This window comes from Homo sapiens, chromosome 12 (genome assembly GCF_000001405.40).
Source record: "Homo sapiens chromosome 12, GRCh38.p14 Primary Assembly".
Classification (NCBI taxonomy): domain Eukaryota; kingdom Metazoa; phylum Chordata; class Mammalia; order Primates; family Hominidae; genus Homo; species Homo sapiens.
The window spans coordinates 77,966,340-77,988,067 of NC_000012.12; the positions used below are offsets into that span (position 1 = coordinate 77,966,340).

General features: G+C 33.9%; 1 protein-coding gene across 27 annotated transcripts in view, besides 1 other annotated feature; it reads left to right on the top strand.

The window, feature by feature from the left end:
* NAV3 (neuron navigator 3) overlaps positions 1–21,728 on the top strand; it is a 641,149-nt gene that overhangs the window by 394,478 nt on the left and 224,943 nt on the right. For all 27 annotated transcript variants that reach the window (XM_017020166.3, XM_047429817.1, XM_047429823.1 and 24 more), the window contains exon 5: positions 2,180–2,363. In XM_017020166.3, the coding sequence (XP_016875655.1) occupies positions 2,180–2,363 (184 nt within the window). The remainder of the gene's footprint in view (positions 1–2,179; positions 2,364–21,728) is intronic.
* Positions 15,838–16,399: an enhancer, noted in NCBI's record as "NANOG hESC enhancer chr12:78375957-78376518 (GRCh37/hg19 assembly coordinates)". NCBI's record gives its function as "activates a minimal SCP1, AML or CMV promoter by ChIP-STARR-seq in naive H9 embryonic stem cells {active_cell/tissue: H9 hESC(naive)}" and the evidence as "EXISTENCE:reporter gene assay evidence [ECO:0000049][PMID:30033119]".

Sequence of the window (21,728 nt, forward strand, 5' to 3'; positions counted from 1 at the left end):
AATGTTTTTAAATTATTTTTTATAATGTAAGAAATGTAACATTGGAGTATACGTCTCCTTAATATGATAAAGGAAATTGGTGAAGTCTTCAAGACAACCGAAACATAAACATAATGGTTATTAATATGTGCTCTAAGTATTTAAATGTTTTCCATATTTTGCCAGAACTGTTCTTTTCTTAACCAACTATATGGGAGAGGAGTGAATCAAAAAAATATCTTTATGTTATTACTAGTTTATAGTATAATTAGATTTCTTAAGTAGATGAATAGATAATTAGATAAATGTTGGATGGACATAAATACAGGTAAAATATTTTAATTAAGGCTTAAAATATTATTTTATCAATAACATTTCTATAATATATTCAAGTTGGTAGAAATAGTCAAAATAGTTGGTAAGTTTAAGTCACTATGAAGTCTTAAATAATTAGAACTAACAGCGTTAATCACTGTTATATATAAATGTTTTAAATCATTAAAGATTCAAAAGATCATCACTAAAATTGAAAGAGAGCAAAATGGGGAAAACTTGAACAAATTTTGACATTGATCTTTTTTCTGAGTTTATTTTACTTTCACTTATAAAGGTGGCAAAAGTTTGCAAAAGCTTGCTACACTTAAGATAAAATTTGCCATACTTGAGAACACTGATATTTAAATTTCTTTTATATTTGCTTGTTATGATATATAATTAAATTACACATTTAATGACCAAGAAGCTTAGGTTCAAACCTAACTGGTAGTTCTGTAACTTCGAATAACATTTGAGTAAAATTCCCCAGGATAATATGTTGCTAAGTAGTTACAGGCTAGAAATGCTGCCATTTATTCACTTTTTATGTCTCTTCCTTATGAAAACCTTTATTAATATCAGCCTATTGATTTTCATTCATCTTTAAAATATACATGAATGCTCAAAATTTACTCTCTAAATTAGTTAAACATGCAAAATAATAAAACAATAATTTTTTAAAGACTCTTTAAACAAAATCTTTCAGGTTTATAGGAGAAAATTAACACTCTCTCACTGTAGCCTCAGATTGATGAAGCCAACTCTTCAATATGACGAAAACTATGAGAAATGTTTGGGGGAAAAATAGAACAACTCAGAGGGTCATTTTATATTAATTATTTTACTGCATAGTTTGAGTTATATGATAAACCATCAGAGAGCAAGAAATCCAAAGAGTTGGTTAATTTTCCTAAACTCCAAAAGGGGACATAAAACCTTAATCTCAGAGGAGGATGCATTTTATTGCCAACATCAAGTTTTATTTAAAATATGATTACAGGTTGTGTAGCTTATTTTCAAGCTTTACATCCTTCTCTTTTCCTATTTTTTTAAGTTATAACTACAGGAGAAAAATGTAGGCTTATGTGTACCCTACATTGTGAATTGAATTTTTTTATTCAATATTTGAAAATCTTACACAGCAACTTCATCTGTTAGAACAAGGATTTCTGCTTATTCAATTATGTTATCTGACGTAAGCTAATCCTCCTTATTTATTAATATATAGCATAAATTAAAAATAAAAGAATTGGAACATTAAAAATTGATATGTCTGCTTTTGGAAGATATACCTACACATACATTTTGATATATATGGATATATATTTGGAGGATATATACATACATAAATATGTATAAATGAGTTGGTGAGTGGGTGATTTAGAAAGAAAGTTGATTGCAACAAATCCAGTTGGTATTAGGAGGTGCACCCACATCATCAATATTTATAAATGCAGGACAACCAACATTTAAGTGGCTTTCTTTCTCCAGTTCGTAGCCACTGCTATGCTGGCAACAGCTGTGTATATTTGTGAGGGAATCAACATGCTAAATCAAATGGTTAGCACAAGAGAGAGCTCATTTATTTCTAAGAAGCAGCTAACTCGAGAAAAATTGTAGTTCAAGGTCAGCAAAGAATATCACTTCTGAGTGTGCTTTGTTCTTTTTACCCTCTATCCTTTTATTCTCTCCCTGAAATTCCAAGTTATTTGGAAATGTTAACATGTTTCAGAAATTCAGGTTTGTTTGTGATTCAACTGTGACTGAGAGAATTAAGTTGTATCTCTGTCTTCATAGATTTATTTCAAGAGAAATGCATCTAGAATTTGTTAAAAAGGACATTAAATACATATGATTCTTTTTTTGTATTTTTCATTTCATACAGAAATAAGAAATGGAAACTTAAAAGCCATTCTAGGGCTGTTTTTCAGTTTATCTCGCTACAAGCAGCAACAACACCATCAACAACAGTACTATCAGTCCTTGGTGGAACTTCAGCAGCGAGTTACTCACGCTTCCCCTCCATCGGAAGCCAGCCAGGCCAAAACCCAGCAAGATATGCAGTCCAGGTAAGGAAAGGAAGTAGGGAATGTGTTTCCAATTAGTTTGTGTAGATACAACTTGTTTTTAACAAATTATTGTCCATGAGTTTGAAAAACGTACTCATGTGCTTGTATCAGTGTGATGGGATTATTTGACTTGTGTAATAGAAACTAAAACCACTCTTGTTTTGCTTGGACAAGCAACATCTATCATCTTTTGGGTGACGTATTTTGTTTGTTTTCTAAAGATTGTTGTTCTGTATCACAGTGTGAAATGTCTTTGGTGTAAGTAATGTGGCATGACTACTTTCTTCTACAAATGACTTTAGTATTTAGAATGTGCTATTGAGTCCTAGTCTCCTGTCATGTAGTTATCTTTCATTGATATTTTTGATTAATTAAGTCTGTCAGAAATTTCAGGTCTGTTAAACATAGGAGTTTGAAGTTTGGGAACATAGTGTTTTTGATGTGTGTGTGTGTGTGTGTGTGTGTGTGCATGAGTGTGTGTGTGTATGTGTGTATGCACATACATGTATTATTTGTCTGGCTTGAGTCTTTTGGCATATGTAGACACAGCCTGGTGGAGTGCTCCCAAATCATGGCAACTTCCTTTTCTCTTCCATTATTATTATTTTTTTCCAATATAGAATTATATCAATCAGTGTTCAACTAGAGGAGTCAAGCAAGTAAATGATATATAACAAGAGATTTATTGTGAAGAATTGGTTTAGCATGATTGAGCATACTGGTTAGGCAAGTATGAAATCTGAAGGGCAGCCCAGCTGGAAGGGCAGGCTAGAAATCTCATCATGAGTTGAAATTGCAGTACGCAGGTAGAATTTCTCCTCTGAAGGAAGCCTCAGTTCTGCTTTTGAAAAGCCAAACTTTCGGCCAGGCACGATGGCTCAAGCCTGTATTCCCAGCACTTTGGGAGGCCGAGGTGGATGTATCACAAGGTCAGGAGTTCAAGACCAGCCTGGCCAAGATGGTGAAACCCCATCTCTATGAAAAATACAAAAAGCAGCCAGGTGTGGTGACAGGTGCGTGTAATCCCAGCTACTCTGGAGGCTGAGGCAGAGAATTGCTTGAACCAGGGAGGCAGAGGTTGCGGTGAGCCAAGATCCAGCCTGGGTGACAGAGCGAGACTCTGTCTAAAGTAAACAAACAAACAAACAAAAGAACTTTCTTTCAACTAGTTGAATCAAGATCACCCAGATTATCTAAAGTAAACTTTACTGAAAGTCAATTGATTATAGACTTTTATTACATCCTTAAAATATCTACATAGCAACAACTAGACTAGTATTTGAAGGAATAATTTAGACTATAGTCTAACATAGTTTACATATCAAAATAAATGATCACAGAATGAAGTTTCACTTAACAACTTTCATACAAGCTACTATATTTGTTCCTGAACAATGACTGGGGTATTGGTTAGTTAGCTCTATTACATAAATAGTTATGATTATTTTTCTTGAGGAGAGAGGATATGAAAATCCCTTTCATCGTCTTTGAAAATATAAACACTTGTCAACAAATGTAAATATTTAACTTTGTCCACCTTAGAAGTCAAGCTTGAAACCTACTAACATTCAGTTAACCTTGAGTTTGGTAATTAGAAATGACTCAAACAATTAAAATAATGTTCCAAAGTACATTTATGGACCACCTCCCACTTACTGTCAGTTGTTCAACTGTTCAGAAATCACTTCTCTTTCATCTACCAACCAACCCTCATATGGATTTTGTTTGTTACTCCATAATAAACAATATTTATTTCTCTATACAACCATGTAAATTTGGTTCCCTTTGGAAGATTTTCACTCATCAGTGAATTTTTAAATAAATTTTAAAAAGCTATAGTTTTACTAAAAACATAGCATAAAATATAAAGCTTATGAAGTGATGGGGGATATTTTTTATTATAAAATAATGCAGATATTTGACTGTTCTTTAAGCTCATCTTGGCTTTTGGTTATATCAAGTGAGATTGTATAAGACTCATAGTGGAAAATAAATCTCTATAGGCTAAGTTTCTTGGATGTTTGTAAGCATATAGAAGAACAAAGTGGATGACATCGTGTTTTATGTGTTATTATTTTTTGTGTGGATGTTTGCAACAAAGAGATGGATTCTGAAAAGTGCCAGAAATAATATTTACTAGAGTTTGGTTTAAGCAATTTAAATAAAGAAGACACAAGAATAGTAGCTGAAAAAATAAAGGAAATAAAATTATTTTACGTAAAGCATGTTGACTCTGGAAGTGATACGGAATATCATTTGACATTGCTTTACCTCACTCTTTTTCTGTATCTTCCATGTGAAATTTATTGTCTAGAATTTCTTGCCCAGAATTTCTTGGTAGTTATGACCCTTTTAGGAAATTGTTTATTTTCCTATTCTTCTTGCTGGATATACATGGCTGTTGTGAAACTATGGGGTAGTTTAAAATATAAAGCCATGTATAATACTCATGGTTTTTATACTCTTTTGTGGAAGGATGTCTCGATTTTTCATTACAAGTTTATGAAAAGTATTCTTTTCAACAGTGTCCTTTAAAGCCTTTAAGGCTGTGGTAGACTTTTAGCAAAATTTTCTCTGCTAAATTGGATTTAATTACTTTTTGAATTGATATATAATTTAATAAATGTTTATAGAGTAACAGCTTTAATAAAAGTAGTATTCAGGACCCGAATATAGAAGAGTTCAAGTCTTACTTCCATTAGTCTTACTTTTAGAGAATTTTTACATGGTTTAAAGGATATGATATTTAAGACATTAATACTTATTTTTATTTATATAGATTTAGTGTATCACATTAATATGTAAATTAGAATTTATGTGGACTTACCTGTAGCAATCAATATTTTAAAGCATTTTTCAAAAGGCCACAATGATAATATACATAGGAACATAATGTAGTATCTATGGGTTAGAACCAAGATAATTAATGCAGAAAAATTCCTAGTGACAAATTTATCTTCATTTGCTGGAGGTGTGAGTCATAAATCATGATTTATGATGCCTTTCTATTGATTTCAAAGTTCTTTCCAAGTAAATAGTTTAAATCTCAACTTGCTATACTTCTCTGGGTATTTGGCCAGAAAATGTTCTTATATTTTTCTCTGTAGACTAATAAACATTTCTTAGGGCACATTGTTTCAGTTCAGTGAAAGTGTTTCTGTTTTATTCTCTTTGTTTAAAGTAAATTGGCATAATTCTACATATTTCCACAACATTTATTTTATACATTAATAATTTTTAATTTGATTTTGCTATTTTGAAAAAAACTCCAGATGTTTTTCCTCAAGTTGAATAGCTTTCATTTAAACAGAAATTTGGATTTAAAGGTTAACAAGTGAAATATACAGGAGAAAAAATAAAACATGGACCAAGAGGAAAGAATAGAGTAAGAAATTCTGCTCTCCTGCTCTCTCAGCTCCCTCTCCACCTTTGAGTGTATGTATCTATAGGTGCATGGGTCATGTGCTATATGTGAGCTTGAGTGTGTGTGTGTGCACAAGTGTGCATGCATGTGTGTCCTGCTCAAGTGGCACCTAGAGTTCTAATTATTAAGAGTTTACCTCAGGAATCAGACTGCCAGGACCTGGATCTGTATTAAAGTAAAGGTGGGATTCAGATTTTAAGTTTCTTAAATTCATTACAGGGTATTATTTGGCTTATTTGGAGTGATAAAGACTTGATTAACCAAGTAATCAATTCTTTAAAATTTAAATATATTTGATATGAAAATTAGATTTTATCTATGTCAGTATTTTTTTGATGGACTTTATGTGGGTAAAGATTCAATATCTTGCTATATTCCGAAATATTAAGCATCTTATTTGCATTTATTTAATATATGAAATAAAACTAGTTCATTCAGTATTTCTTAATTTTCTTTTTATTTTGAAAAAGGTAGATAAAAATTCTCCTCTCCAGCCAAAAGGGGAAATATGAGAAGTGTTTTAATATAAAATGCTAAAAAAAATCGTATATAAATGTTGGTATCATAGTTATTTTCCACAGGTATTCATTGGGAGATGAAGGAAATCCTATTTCTTATTCTAAGAAACAATGTAAAAATAAATCCTACAATTTTAAAATTCATAAAATTCATTTTCATCCTAGGCTATTTCTGTGAACCTTACTTTTTCATATGTTGCATTTTGACAATTAGAGTTCTAGTTGGCAGGAAAGCTAAAAGAAAATTCTATTTCAACCCTAAGCAGTACCTAGCACATACCAGACAACAACACTCAGTAAATGAATGCATGATTTTCCTAAGAATACCTGGAAAAACATTACAGTAAAAAAAAAATAAAATGAAACTTAATTTTTCTTATGTACTGACCTGGTTATATACAAGGTGTTAGGATGATAGTACATGTAAAAGATACATTTTTTTATTTGCTAAAAGCTTTTTTAAAAGACGTGATTTTTCTTAAAATACATACTTTTATCTTAATTTTTGAACAGATTATTAAATGATTTTCCTTCCTGTTATCAAATAGTTGATGAATTTTACCAACTCACAGATAGTGGTTATTAAATCACATGAATAGTTTATGTAGTATACAATTAAAACATGTAAAAAGAAGAAAATTGAATGTGAAAGTAGAGGTAAGAGATTACATAGATAGATGATAGAGGTGGCAAAACCAGTGGTGATAAATCTTTCTGAATTAAAAAAAAATATATTGGGAACTTGAAAGTTTATGATCTCTGCAGATGATCATATGCCCTTTTGCTTTTGATTTTATGGGAGCAAATCAAGAATGTGTCCACTTTCAAAGATGAACGTGCTCCTACAGGATTCACAAGTTAAACTGTGAAATCCCCGGGTACACGTTTTCTGAACGGCTTGGCTGTTCCCTTGCAGCCCCTTTCCAAGGTTCCCGTGACCCCTACCACACACATTGCTTTTGGAACCCTCTTACCATAGAGGACATTTGCCTTCCAGGGTATCTTTTCCAGGAAACATTATTTCCTTCTGGGAGATTCACTCTGAAACTGGGACAGTTTACAGCTTTTTGGCCAAAGGTTATAAATCTTGAGAAGTATATAAGGAAGTTTAATTTAAGATGACAGGTAGGCTTTAGTAATTTAAGCCCTTGTGAACCTGGCTTCAATTAGTTGCCTAACTCAGTTCTGTGTTGTGGCCATAGTGTGCCCTTTAAAAAAAAAGTCAGTTAATCGATTAAACTTTAAATAAAACAAAAACAGAAAAGAAGAGGGATATTTATAAAATCATTACTTAAAGCAGGATTTTTTTATCTCTAGAGAGAAATAATTGAAGAGAAAGAAGTTATTCTTAACTGACTGCATTTGGAAACCAAGAGTATGTAATATTAAGAGAAAGTTTGTGTGTGCACGTGCACACACTTTTGTTACGTTCTAACACTGGTGTTTCGGTTGTTATAGATGAAGATTATATTATAGTAAAGGTGGGACTCAGATTTTAAGTTTCTTAAATTCATTACAAGAAAATATTTGGCTATATTTGGAGTGATAAAGACTTGATTAACCCAGTAATCAATTTTTAAAAATTTAAATATATGTAATATAAAATAAGATTTTATCTATATCAGTATTTTTGTTGTTTTGTTTTGTTTTGTTTTGAGATAGAATCTTGCTCTGTCACCCAGGCTGGAGTGCAGTGGCTCAGTATCAGCTCACTGCAAACTCTGCCTCCCGAGTTCAAGCCATTCTCCTGCCTCAGCCTCCCTAGTAGCTGGGATTACAGGTGCCCACCACCACGGCCAGCTGTTTATTATTATTTTTTTTTTTTGTAATTTTTGTGGAGACATGGTTTCACCATGTTGGCCATGGTGGTCTCAAGCTCCTAGCCTCAGATGATCTGCCCGCCTCAGCCTCCCAAAGTGCTGGGATTATAGGCCTGAGCCATCATTCCCAGATGCTATGTCAGTATTCTTGGATGTATTTTATGTGGGTAAAGATTAAACATCTTGCTATATTGGTTATTTCAGAGTCAAGCAAGTATGGGTTGGAGTCCTGCTTGCCAATTCCCAGCGCAGTGGCATGGTCAAGTGATTTTAACCTGCTCAAATTCCAGTGTTCTTCCTCTAATATTGGAATGGTGTCAACTTTCTCATAAGGGTTTTGAAGAGACCAGATGAAATGGTTTATGTATAAAATGCTTACTTAGCATAACACAGCATATAATAGACACTCAAACCAGCTATTTCCATCTTCCCTTCTTTCACTTGAAGATCATATCACATGTGTAATAAAATACGTTGACCCACATTAAAAACCTTAAGTCAACCTCATTACTGTTCTCCCTTTTCTCTCTTTCTCTAATCAAGTCTGCCCATTCCACTGTTTAATTAAATATATGAAAATAATTTAAAGTAATAATATTTCCAATAAAATAGCTTAATAATGCTCAGTCCTTTGTATGCCCAGTCTAAATAAGCAGAATAACCCCTTTAATTAGTTTAGATTTTTTTAATTAGTTACTTCCATATAGCTAAATAGAATGCTCCTACCACTAGTTTCTATTCATCAATTTGACCATTTTCATTGGATTCACACATCTCTATTTCTCTCCACCCTCATTAATTGATTCTACAAACTTTTATTAAGCACGTAGTATGTTCTAGACAATCTTCTAGTCACTGGAGATATGCAGAAGACAAAAGAGATTAAAAAATCTTTGCTTTCTTGAAGCTTTCATTCTAGTAATTGGAGATAACACAAACTTAATTAAAATATTTACCAGTAATTTGACAGCTGATGACGGAGAAAAATAAATCAGAAAAAGGCAAATCAGATGTGTGGGAACAATTTTTTGCTAATTTAAATTTAATGAGGACCGAGGAAAGTCCTCATTCAGATGATGAGACTAAACAAAGAAAATGACAGAATGTTGTCGGTGAATATCTCAGGGCAGTGTTTCAGGCTGAGAGAAGAAATGCTCTTAGACCTTGAATTAAGAGCCTGTCTGCTTCTCTTCAAGAAGAGAAAACATCTATCCCAGTTGCGCTGGATCAGAGGGAAAGAGGCAGAAGAAGAGTAGATATAATTCAAAGAAACATAAGAATAAGTATGGCCCTGTTGCCATTGTAAAGACTTTGACTTTTATTCCTGGAGAGAGGGGAAGATACTATGTGCCATGAGGAACATAAACAGGCACATAAATGAAGTGGTCATATTGGCTGCTGTGTTGAAAATAGAGTGTAGTAGGGAAAAGGTGGTAGCAAGAAGTCATGGAAAAAGCTTGGGCTATCATGTTGAAAGTGCAGAGAGGAAGTTAAATGCCAAATGTGTTTTGAAGGTAGTGTCAGAAGAAACTGATAGACTTGTAATGAAATTGGTAAACAGAAAGGAAACTCTAGCATGGATAAGGAGGCTATAAAGGTGAGACTGTACGTTATCGATATAGTATTAGCTGTTGGAAAGATGGCGTTTCCATTTGCTGAAATGAAGAAAAAAATATGAGGAAAGGTTTGGTAGGGAGAAGGTCAGATATTCACTTATTGCCATGTGAGCTTTGAAATATATATGAGATATATCCAAAATACTGAGGAGGCCATTGGAATTGCAAAACTGGGGTTTAAGGGACAGATGGAGCCTATAGATAAAAATCATGGAAAAATAAGCAGATAGCAACAATAAAAAGCTATAAGGCTAGACATGATTAAGTCACCAAAATCTGTACATAGTTGAAGAAGAGAACTGAGGCCTTGGATCAGGAGCTTACCAATATTTAGAGATCAAGGAGATGGCAAGACCTGATAGAGGAGACCAAAAAGAGTTAGCCTGTAACGTAGGAAGAAAAGTAGAACTTGATGTCCTGGAAAGCAGGTGCAGAAAGCGTTCAATGGAGAGACAGATCAATAGTCATAACTTATATGGAGCCCTTTCTGAACCATTCTAAATAGTTTATACATACATTTACTGTCTCAATCCTCACGGCAATCCTATGATGTGTATACTGTATTCTTTCTTTCTTTCTTTCTTTCTTTTTTTCTTTTTTTTTTTTTTTTTTGAGACGGAGTCTTACTCTGTCACCAGGCTGGAGTGCAGAGGCGTGATCTCAGCTTGGCTCACTGCAACCTTCCCCTCCCGGGTTCAAGTGATTCTCCTGCCTCAGCCTCCCGAGTAGCTGGGACTACAGGCACACGCCACCACATCTGGCTAATTTTTGTATTTTTAGTAGAGACAGGGTTTCACCATGTTGGCAAGGATGGTCTCGATCTTGACCTCATGATCTGCCTGCCTCGGCCTCCCAAAGTTCTGGGATTACAGGCGTGAGCCACCACACCCGGCCTGTACTGTATTCTCAATATTAATTTTGACATAAGGAAACAGAAAATGGAAAGATCAATTAAATTGCACAGTTTCACAGAGACTAGGCTGTATATTGGATCAAGGCAATCTAGTACAGAGTTTGTGTTTCTATCCATTATTTACAGAATGTCAACTACATGAAATGTTGCATGTAAGTAGGATGAGGACTGATAACTGACTTACCGCTTTTGCACTGGAGACTTTGATGAGAGCTCTTTCAGTGAAGTAGTTGCTATGATAACTTGATTGGAATCTGTACAAAAGAGAATGAGAGGGAGGAATTACAGAGAGAGATGTACAATTTGTATGTGTCAATTAAAAAAAGAGATAGCAAATATAGGCAGGTCTTTCTAGGAGTGTTACTAACATAGTTACACTCCACTATCTTTAGTTCTTTTATTGGTTAACTTTGTACCTTTATATAATGGAATAACATCTTTATTTCTTTTTCAATCACCTGTAGAGTATCTTTTGGTATTCGATTTTGTAAAACCTGGATATTAAAACTACGGTTTGGTTCTCCTCCATCCACTAACAATTTCCAATCTCTGTTATCGGCACTTTTATTTTTTTGTTACCAATGTTCATATGATTAATCTATTTTGTACAGGTAGCTGATTCTTCCATGCTTTTAGTATAGGTTGATTCCAAAAGTTGAAAATCAATAAGAGTGTTTAGATAGGAGATATATATATACACACACACACACACACACGCGCACACACACACACACACACACACACACACTCTCTTCAGAATCAAGTAATATACTCTGATTCTTCCCTAGTTAAGGCCTATCTGAAAATCTGAAAGTCTGGTAAAAGTTGATACTTGTTTGAATTGATGCATAAAATAGTAGATAATTTGAATTAGGGCCAGAGCTCATTTTATGATAGTTTGGGGAGATCAGTCCAAGTAAACAAAGGATCACTGTATGCCAGTTACGTAAAAAATGCCTTTTTTACGGGATTATCCAGTTATTATAGTTTAAAATGCTTTTTATGTTCAGATCGTTGGTTTTGGTTTAGTTTTGTTTGTAAAAAAAAAATTCTTAGTTTTACTTTTCTTAACTAAGTCAGAATCAGTTAAACTTGATTTTCTAGGTATAAAATAAAAACGTCATAATTGTCTTTTATCTTTCCAAAAGAACTGTGAGAATATAAATACATTTGAAAGTATGAGATTAACTCTTAATTTAAGAACTTAAGACACACTTTTTGCCATAAATATGTAGATAACAACAATGGTGAGCCATTATTTGTCCTATGAAATATTTTTTAAGATGTGAAGTGTTATTATAATACAGCTGTGACTCATGATAACTAATTTGTGATTAATTTATTTAAAATTTTATAACAGGACATTTTGACGGCCTAGTTAGATATTTTCTATCAAACACTAGAAATTTGATTCTAACCACAGGTACTACGTATTTGACATGTATGAGCCACTTTCTTCTCAAATAGAGCACTGATTATATATGTAATTATTTCATTTGCCATTTTATACTATATGAAATTATTTATTAATCTTTTCTACTAAAGACTAACATCAAAAAGTTAACATTTATTAAAAATTTTCAAAAATTTTCAAAACTTATTAAAGTCAATAGCTATTGAATTTATTCATCTGTTTTCTACTAAAAACTAACCTCATCTCAATTTTTTGAGGTTAGTCTTTATAAAAAAGCAGATTAATAAAGTCAATATTTATAATTTTGAATAAATTTTTAAAATTATAATTAATAAAGTCAGTAACTATTAACTTTTCATAATCCCTTTTCTATGCTTCTACTTCTGACCATCCCAAATGCCCCTGTCTTTCTGATTGATCTCTCAGTCTAATAAGATATAAAACAAAATAACGATTGACTGTATTCATTACAATTTTCAATATGGAGTAAAATTACATCTCAATACATTCAGAGCTTCAGCCTCAAAATGTTGAGGTTAGTTTTCACTAGAAAACATATTAATAATTATGGACCTTTTTTCCATTATAAGTCAGTAATTTTTCAAATTACTTATAATTTTTCAAATTTCAAATTTGAAAAATTACTGACATAATAAAAACTGCAACTGTCTCAAAAATCATAATTGTCTGGGCATGATAGCTCATGCCTGTAATCCCAGAACTTTGAGAGGCCAAGGCAGGAGATCACCTGAGGTCAGGAGTTCCAGACCAGCCTGGTCAACACTGTGAGACCTACTCTCTACAAAAAATACAATACAAAAAAAAAAAAAAAAAGTTAGCCAGAAGTGGTGGTGTGTGCCTGCTGTCCTGGTTACTTGGGAGGTTGAGGTGGGAGGATGGCTTGAAACTAAGACGTCAAGGCTGCAGTGAGCCATAATTGCACCACTACATTCCAGCCTGGTCACAGAGATTCCTCCTCTGAAATATATATATAGAAAAAAATACACTAAAAATAAAAAAGCTATAATGATTATGTCAGAATGATCATTAGATTATTTTTCTGTAGCCAAGTCTACATGGAAAATCAGGAGATAACTTGGTGAGCATGGAATTAGATTTAGGGGATTTGCATGTTTCAGTAACTTATCTTGCTTATGAGACTTTAACCATTAGTCAAGGGCACACTTTCAACATACACCTCTTTATGTGCCCTTTTCTATGCTTCTACTTCTGACCACCCCAAGTGCCTCCCTCTTTCTGACTGATCTCTCAGTCTCATAAGATGTGAAACGAAAAAAAAAAAAGAAAAAAAAAAAAAAGCCTTCTCTTTCTGCTGTGTGGCAGGCTCTAGAACAACGCTCACCCATCAGAGATGTTTTGTGACCCCAGTCACTGCTTACTAATATTGTTACTGAAATGCCAGAGATTTGGTCTAGGTCCTGCTGTGTGCTACACAGAAAGCCACTTACTGAGAGAACGAGTATTGCCAGAGAAAAAGGCTTTAACTGGGTGCTGCAGCTGAGGAGAAGGGATACCAGTCTCAAATCCAACTAAAATTAGGGGTTTATATGGCAAGGAAGAAATGTAACTATGTGTGGGAAAACAGGAATGAGGGAGGGATAAGGAAGAGGAATTGGTCAACAGGAAGCAGGTGGTCAGTTAAGCAATCATGACAGATGAGGGGCTTGGCGTCTTATTGTCCAGATATAATTATCTGATAAGTTTCAGTTCCTTGACACTATTTGGGTTGCCTGATGGTTGGTTTCCCAAGAAAAAAACCCAGATAAGACAACCGTAAGTTTCTCAAGTTTTAAGACTGGAGGGGTCAATTTCTATGTTTATTCAAAAGAAACCATAAACGTCAGTTCTATGGGACAATTGGGCTGGTTTGATTATGATTGTATTGATGATTATATTTTCTTTGCATTAAATGGAGAGCAGCCCAATTATAAGGACTTGATAGACTAGATTTTCTCACAAATCTTCACATACTTTATAGATATTCATCTTTTAAATGTAATAAAAGTTATTTTCCTGAATATATGTATTAAGAAATAATTTAACATATTTTATGATGACTACAATGCTTTTTAAGTATTTAGAAGTATTAAATAATCTGATTTTTCACTGATCTGTGTGGTCTTTGCCTAAGTTGGTTTAAATTTTTAGTTTGACAAAATAACTTTTTCTACCAGTATTCAAGTTCCAATTTTTTTAAGGTGGTTGCATTCAAATGAACTTTTGGAATGAAGCTCTGAATGTATTGAGATGTAATTTTACTCCAAACTAAAAATTGAAAATGGGAAACATCCACAGAACAGCATTGTAGCGTAGTACTTTGAGCTATGTGTAAGTAACAGCATTGTGGAAAATCTAATTTATGGTGATATTGTAAAAGAAATATGAGCCTCATTTCCTGAATTCTCCTTTATCTTGAAGTTTGACATTCCTAAAAGAGCAAGAGACTTTGATGCTGTAATATCTTACACAGGCCTCTCCCTCTTTAGTTACTGTTTTGAGATCCCACAAAAGCAGACCATGCAGGTGGCCTTATTAACTGCCTGTGGAAATTTAAGATAAGACAGAGGTTATAACATATTTTCATACCGTATTTCACTAAAAGGATAAGTTATCACAGTAACCTGTCCCAAATGCAATTCAGATGATATTTCAGCCACCCGGTTACTAAAAAGAAACACATGTGGATAAAAGCTGTTTCTGACTTATTTATGGATTAGGCAATAACTGTTTTCAGTGAACTCTTAGCAAAAGGAGAACGTATTTTATGATATACTCTGCAGTGAGGACACTTTTTGCAAAATGCCTTTAATATTTTTTAAGGACCACATATAGTTTTGAGGTACTAAAGATATATTTGCAGAAGTGGCTAAATATCTCTCTCTTTCTTAGTGCTAATAGCATGTTAGTTATCATTTTATAGCAGTTCACAAGGATCCTGCAGAAGTCTTTATACTAAAGAAAGAATTTGGTTTAAGGAGCTCTTTAAATCTTAATTCTGAATATATGGTTTCATTTCTATCCCAAGCAATCATAGGACACATAAAGAAATTTATTTCCATCTATCTCAGTCTTAAAAACCCTTAGTGAATGTATTTAACTGTCTTTAAAGTTTGTTCTTTTGTCTAAAATTCCTTAGCATTAAACTTTAAAAAATATATTTAATTATAGTATATCTTGGGTACTTTATTCCCGATTTTTTTTCTCAAGCCATTTTCAGTGAATTTGAAAGGAAATAATTTCTGTCTTTTTAACATAATACTGTATTATAGAAGAAAAAATTGGGAGGTAAAAATTGCCTACTAAAACTCAAACCCAAGAAATGCCTTATTTTATACTCTGAGTTTTGTTTCTTTATATTCCTCTTTGTTTCCTTGTGAATGGTGCTTTTAGAAGAAACAAATGTGATATCATAATTAGGCATGCTTTTTTCTTTCTTTGGGAATCAAGAGTACTACATGTCTCACTATATACGGATTCTGAATAGGGATTTCTTCTCTTGTGATATGTTTATGTGACTCCAAGACTGAGGGTAAATAGATAGGGCCAGAAACAAGGATGATTCTAAAATGATTTTCTATAAAATTTCTTAATATAGATGAAGAGTTATAAAAACTGATGTAATGTCAAAGATTGTCTTTACATTCTGTTTTGCTTTGATAAATATAGTTTATTCAACTACTTTTATATCAAATACATCTATTTAAAAATTACTGTTTTCTACTTGATTTTTATGTTTTGATGAACCAGCCACTGTCTACTTGGGCAGAGTCAATGCATAACATATGGCTTAATGAAAGATGATTTGTTGCTATTGATCCTTTATATGTTACATTAGAGCCGTGTGTTCTTTTCCACTGGTGATTTGAAAGTTCATATGTGACCTTTCCACAAATAAATTGGCCCTCACCATGAGCCAAGAGATACATCAGATATGTGGCTAAGATAAAGTGATGTTCCTCTTCAAATCACCCACAATCTTATAGAGTACCTAAATATTTAAGCAGATGGCTTAATAGACATGTTAATTAATTCAACAAAGCACAAGTTGCTCAGTGATCAAAGTTAGAGGGAAGGGCACATATGAAGGGACTGACGAAGGAAATGCCATTTCACATTCAGGAAATGAGTTATTTGGCTGAGGAGAAAGTTAAAGTAGAAATGGGTTCTGGGTATCTATTGCTGCTTTACAAAAGCATCCCACAATCTAATGGCACAAAACAGTAACCATTTTACGATGCTCATGGATTTTGTAAGCCAAAGAATCAGACGAGGCATAAAGAGAATGGCTTGTCCTTGTTCCACTATGTCCAGGGCAGGCAATGGAGAAGGATGGAATGGCGGGGATGTCACAAACTGGTGAGAGACAGAATATCTGTGGTTAAAGAATCCACTTCCAAGATGACTTCTTCACTCACAGGTCTAGCAGCTTAACTGAAATTCACACGGCCACTCCAGCATGGCAGCCTTAGTGGTATCATACTTCTCACATGGTAGCTCTAGTGGTTAAAGCAGCTTCAAGCCCACTCAGACTCTAAGAGATGGGTGGATAGCACAAAGATCTCACTTCTCAATGGAAGGATGATCAATGAATTTATCGTATCCCTGTGTTAAAATTGTCATAGCATATAATGAGAGAGAAGACTGGAGAAATAGGCAGAGGTCAGTTTGTGGAAGTTGTGAACTCTATGCCTAGGAGCTGGGACTTATTTGCTAAATGTAAAGTAAAATTGCTTTGAGAAATTTTTACCAGAGGAAAAATGAGACTATTTATAACTTAGAAATATTGCCCTGGTGACAGGGTAGAGAAAGATGTGCTTTGGGCAGGGGAATAGGGATGGACCCTGCTCTGGTGGCAAGAGAATGAACAGTTTAATGCTTGCAGATCTGAAAGTTGGACTGGAACAATGAATTTGGTGACTGATTGGAAGTAAGGGTAAAAGACAATCATCACGTCTCTACTTTCATTGATGAATTGAAATATCATGTATTTCAGTAAGACAGAAAATATAATATGATAGTGGAAACAGATGGGAGGAAGGAGGCAGAGAGAAAAAAAGTTTAGCTTTGGCCTTCGTAGGTTTAAGATTTTAATGGAACTTTGGTGACTAGTATGTGGCTCCGGAGCCTAGGAGAGAAGCCAGAGCCAGAGATATGGACCTGGGAACATTAGCTTAGCTATGTTTTATTGATTGAAACAATAGAAATGGAAGAAATAGCTCAGGAAAAAAGTATAAAAGTAGGGGAAAGAAAGGAGAGCTCAACACAAAACTCTGGGGACCACAAACAATTACAGGTGAAGTGAGGAAACAAGGAGAATGAGAGAATGTTCTTTTTGTTTTGCAATGTACTGAGTTATGGTAACTTTTTGCTAAGTTCTTAAGTGTAAATTGTTTTTCTATTGAGAAGTACTTCGTCTTCTGAGACATTTTGTTCTTGTCTTTCAAATTATTCCTGGAATCTAGATACAAATGAAATACAAAACTCTGGTTGAAATATTAAATTAACTATATTGAACATATATTCATCTAATCACTGCAACACAAAACAAAACACTAAGTCCTGAACTTAAGACACTTTTGGATTCTGTGCAGTGTTGAGATTTATGTTTTGAAAGGCTCACCCTGTGTGTGTTGTTTTGGGAATGCTGGTTCTTTGGTGTCTTATTGGGACAGTTTCTAATGATTTCTTACTGGGCTAAGTCCTGTGGGACTTATGTTGTTGACTTTGGGAAACAAGAATAATGAATAATATCCATAAAATTTTGAAGGAGAATAAGACCTAATTGTATTTGATTTCAAGGAATCACAGTCCCAAAGTAATTTTAAACTGAGAGACCAAGAGCCACAGTTAAAAGCTCAGCCATTGTCCTGAAAGAGCCATGCTTATGTGCTTTCAAGTAAGAATAACGTAACATCAAAAGTGGTAAGTGAGAACCAAGGGATGTGGTATTAGGAAGACTTCCAAGTGCAGGTGTGCAGGGTAATAGCGGCTAAAATTCACACAGGATTCATTAGAATATTTACAGTGCCTCCAGAGACTGTCAAGTATGCATTTTTTTTTTTTTTTACCTGTTATAGCACTTATCTTTACCAGACACCCTTCTAAGTGATCTGCAATTTGGTCCTCATAAAAGCCTTTAGGTAGATGTCATCCTCATTTAACAGATGAGAAACTAGGCACAGAAAGCAGTTGAGCTGAGATGTGGGTAGGGCAGCTGGCTGTAGATTCCTTGCTATTAACCAATGTATTCGATGTTTACTACTGGCATTTCAACATATTAATTCACAGAAGATAAATAATGTCATCTATCATTTCTTCACATCTGCAAAATGCTTTTGTTTCTCTTTCCAAACTTGAATTTGATTTCCATTAAATATAAAATTATAGGTTTTTTGTTTTTTTTTTCGAGACGGAGTCTCGCTCTGTCACCCATGCTGGAGTGCAGAGGTGTGATCTCAGCTCACTGCAACTCCCACCTCCTGGGTTCAAGCGATTCTCCTGCCTCAGCCTCCCAAGTAGCTGGGATTACTGGCACATGCCACCACGTTCAGCTAATTTTTTGTATTTTTAGTACAGACAGGGTTTCAACGTGTTAGCCAGGATGGTCTTAATCTCCTGACCTCGTGATCCAGCCACCTAGGCCTCCCAAAGTGCTGGGATTACAGGCGTGAGCCACCGCGCCCAGCCTATACTTTTTATGAAGAATATTAGTTAGTATACATGGTTTTAGGGGTTATAATTCTCCGAATGAAACAGTAACCTCTGTGGGCTTTAACCAAATTTTTCCAAATTAAATCTTTCTGACACAGTGCCAGTACATCGGAGGTGGTCAATAAAAGTCTTTTCAATGATTAATTAATTGGACAATTGCATAAATCAATCTTCATGTTTGTCAGAATAACGAGAACACTGAACTAAGTTTAGTTTCTCAATATCTATGTCTATGTGCCACTTTGAAAACCTTAGGAATGTGAAGCTGCTTTCTTATTTATTCATTAATTCAGTATCCAAAAGTATTTATATACTTTATAAGTTAATCTTTAGAATAACATCAGTGATGGCTCTTCACTGTCAATACTCTAAAGGTGGGATTAGTCACTTCTGAATATCCATTTTCCCAGGGTTTCTATTTCTTTCTCTACTTTTTTTTTTTGTATGTAGACATAATTGAATTGGAATTTTCTTTTCATACACTACACGAGCGATGTTCAACCTCATTTTCCCACACTCCTTTCTATGTAACTTTATTGTACGTAGAACAACTCAAATTAGAGGCCCAGGATTTGTCTTAGATTCTTCCCTTTCTTTCAATTCCTGTGTCCACTATTTTAACTTATTTTAATCATTTACTTCTATTTCCTGTGCCTCTGTCTTCATTCAGGCCTATATAAAATCCTGCCTGAATTTTAGCCATGATTTCCTATTTGATCTGTTTTCAGCCTTGTTAACATCTCCCAACCTCATTTCTTCCTCACTCTTACATATCTAAGGAAAGATCTATCTAATCTGAGAAATTAGTATTTCTTCCGAAATTAAATTTTTTTGGTAGTCTCCCATGCAATCAGAATAAATACCAAATTCCTTAGCAAATTGTTGTGGCTTTCTAGATTCTCACTTGGAAAAAAACTAGATGTTAAAATATTATTTTTAGGGCTGGGCGCGGTGGCTCATGCCTGTAATCCCAGCACTTTGGGAGGCCAAGGCGGGTGGATCACTTGAGGTCAGGAGTTTGAGACTAGTCTAGCCAACATGGTAAAACCCCATCTCTACTAAAAATACAAAAGTCAGCCAGGTGTGGTGGCACGCACCCGTAATCTAAGCTACTTGGGAGGCTGAGGCAGGAGAATCGCTTGAACCTGAGAGGTGGAGGTTGCAGTGAGCCGAGATCGTGCCACTGCACTCCTGCCTGGGCGACAGAGCAAAACTCCATCTCAAATAATAATAATAATATTTGTAGAATGAATAAGAAAATTAAAAATATTTATAATTACCACAATAAATAAGCATAAGTTGAAACAATTCAAATACCAACTTCCTCAGCTGAGATTTTTTGTAAGAAGCTTGATAGAATCCAAAGAGCTAAAGTCGATACATTATATGAGGTTGAGGTATTAGGTTTTGGTGATTTATAGAATTCTGTATGTGTATTATGTTGAAGCAAATTTGATTCTTGAGGTTGAAAACTAAAACTAAGGAATGAGGTCATATATACATATATATGACCACATTTTGCATGGAAGTCTGCTGTTAAAATAACTATAACATAAATAGAATAGTCTACAAACATCTTACATGAAATTATTAAAATTTTCTTAGCTGTGTATTGATGAAGGCATAGAGAGGAGATACAAATACATTTTAACTCTCATTCTAATTCCTGTTGAACAATAAGGGCTGTTTGAATCCTTTGCAAGGATTATGAGGCTACCATAGGAATTAGTAGAAAAAAAATGTTCCATGATTGATTAGTGATGTCTGTAATGGATGTGGGAGTGGCTAATTATAAATTATGTTCCACATTTATTAGCCCTGAATAAAACATTGCTAAAAATTTTAAATGATAATATTTGCTTGTAAGACTATGAGAATAGTTGCTTAAATACTATAATTATTTTAACCTTTAAAATTGTTTTGTTTACTCTTGATTTCTATGTAAAGTAGATTGAAGTTTTTAAATATTATTTCTCTGTCAAATGGTATATTTTGAAATTAGATTTGTTTGATACTTGAAGAGATCATATTCTGTATACAGATTCTATAATATCTTGGAAATCTTCACAAATCTATGGAGCAATAAAAATACTTCAATTGATATTTGATACAGACAATATGGTACAAGAGAACGGAGTACAGCTTATGGAATGTTAACAAATTTAAGTTCAAATTTCAGCACTTTAATTTACAAAATGTATAAAATGCACATGAGTTAACATTAAAAGACTTAATTTTCATATTTGTCAGTTGGTTGTATAGTATAACCTTTGCAGGACTGTTGTGAGGATTGAGTAAGATAAATTGCTGCCAGTTATTAAGGATGTAATAATGACTAGTGTCTTTCTGTTCCCTCCTTTAACATACTTCTGATAATTCTATTCTTGGAACAATTTCCCTTGTTTAGAAGGTAGAGATATAACATGCCATCATTTGAAAATGCCACCCAGTAAATGTCAATCAATTGTTTAGTTACTGAACACATACCAGCCCCATTATAGGAACTAAGAATGAAAAAAAAAATTAACATAACATAATTCCTGCCCTGGAGAACAACGCAGTCTGTTTAGGAGACAGATACTTAACCTGATTAATTACTGCACCATCAAGATACAGTATTCAAGACATATCGAGATATTCAGAGAGGGGATTCTGAAGTTTAGGATTGAGATTGGGGTTTGAAATATACATTTGCTATACAAGAAGGAAGGAGTCGATTATATCTGGGATTATAATTTTTAGAATATTTATGGTAACAGCGTAAAATTTTGTGGGTGGTGACAGTGAGTGAACCTGTATTTGGGAAGCAGTAGTAATAGCTGCAGATGTGGCTGTTGTGTCAGGAACGCTAAAATGATGAAGTCTGTAAGAAGGAGGCTGCTGACATCTAAAGAGGCATGGCTTGAGATTTTGGAATATGCTGTTTGA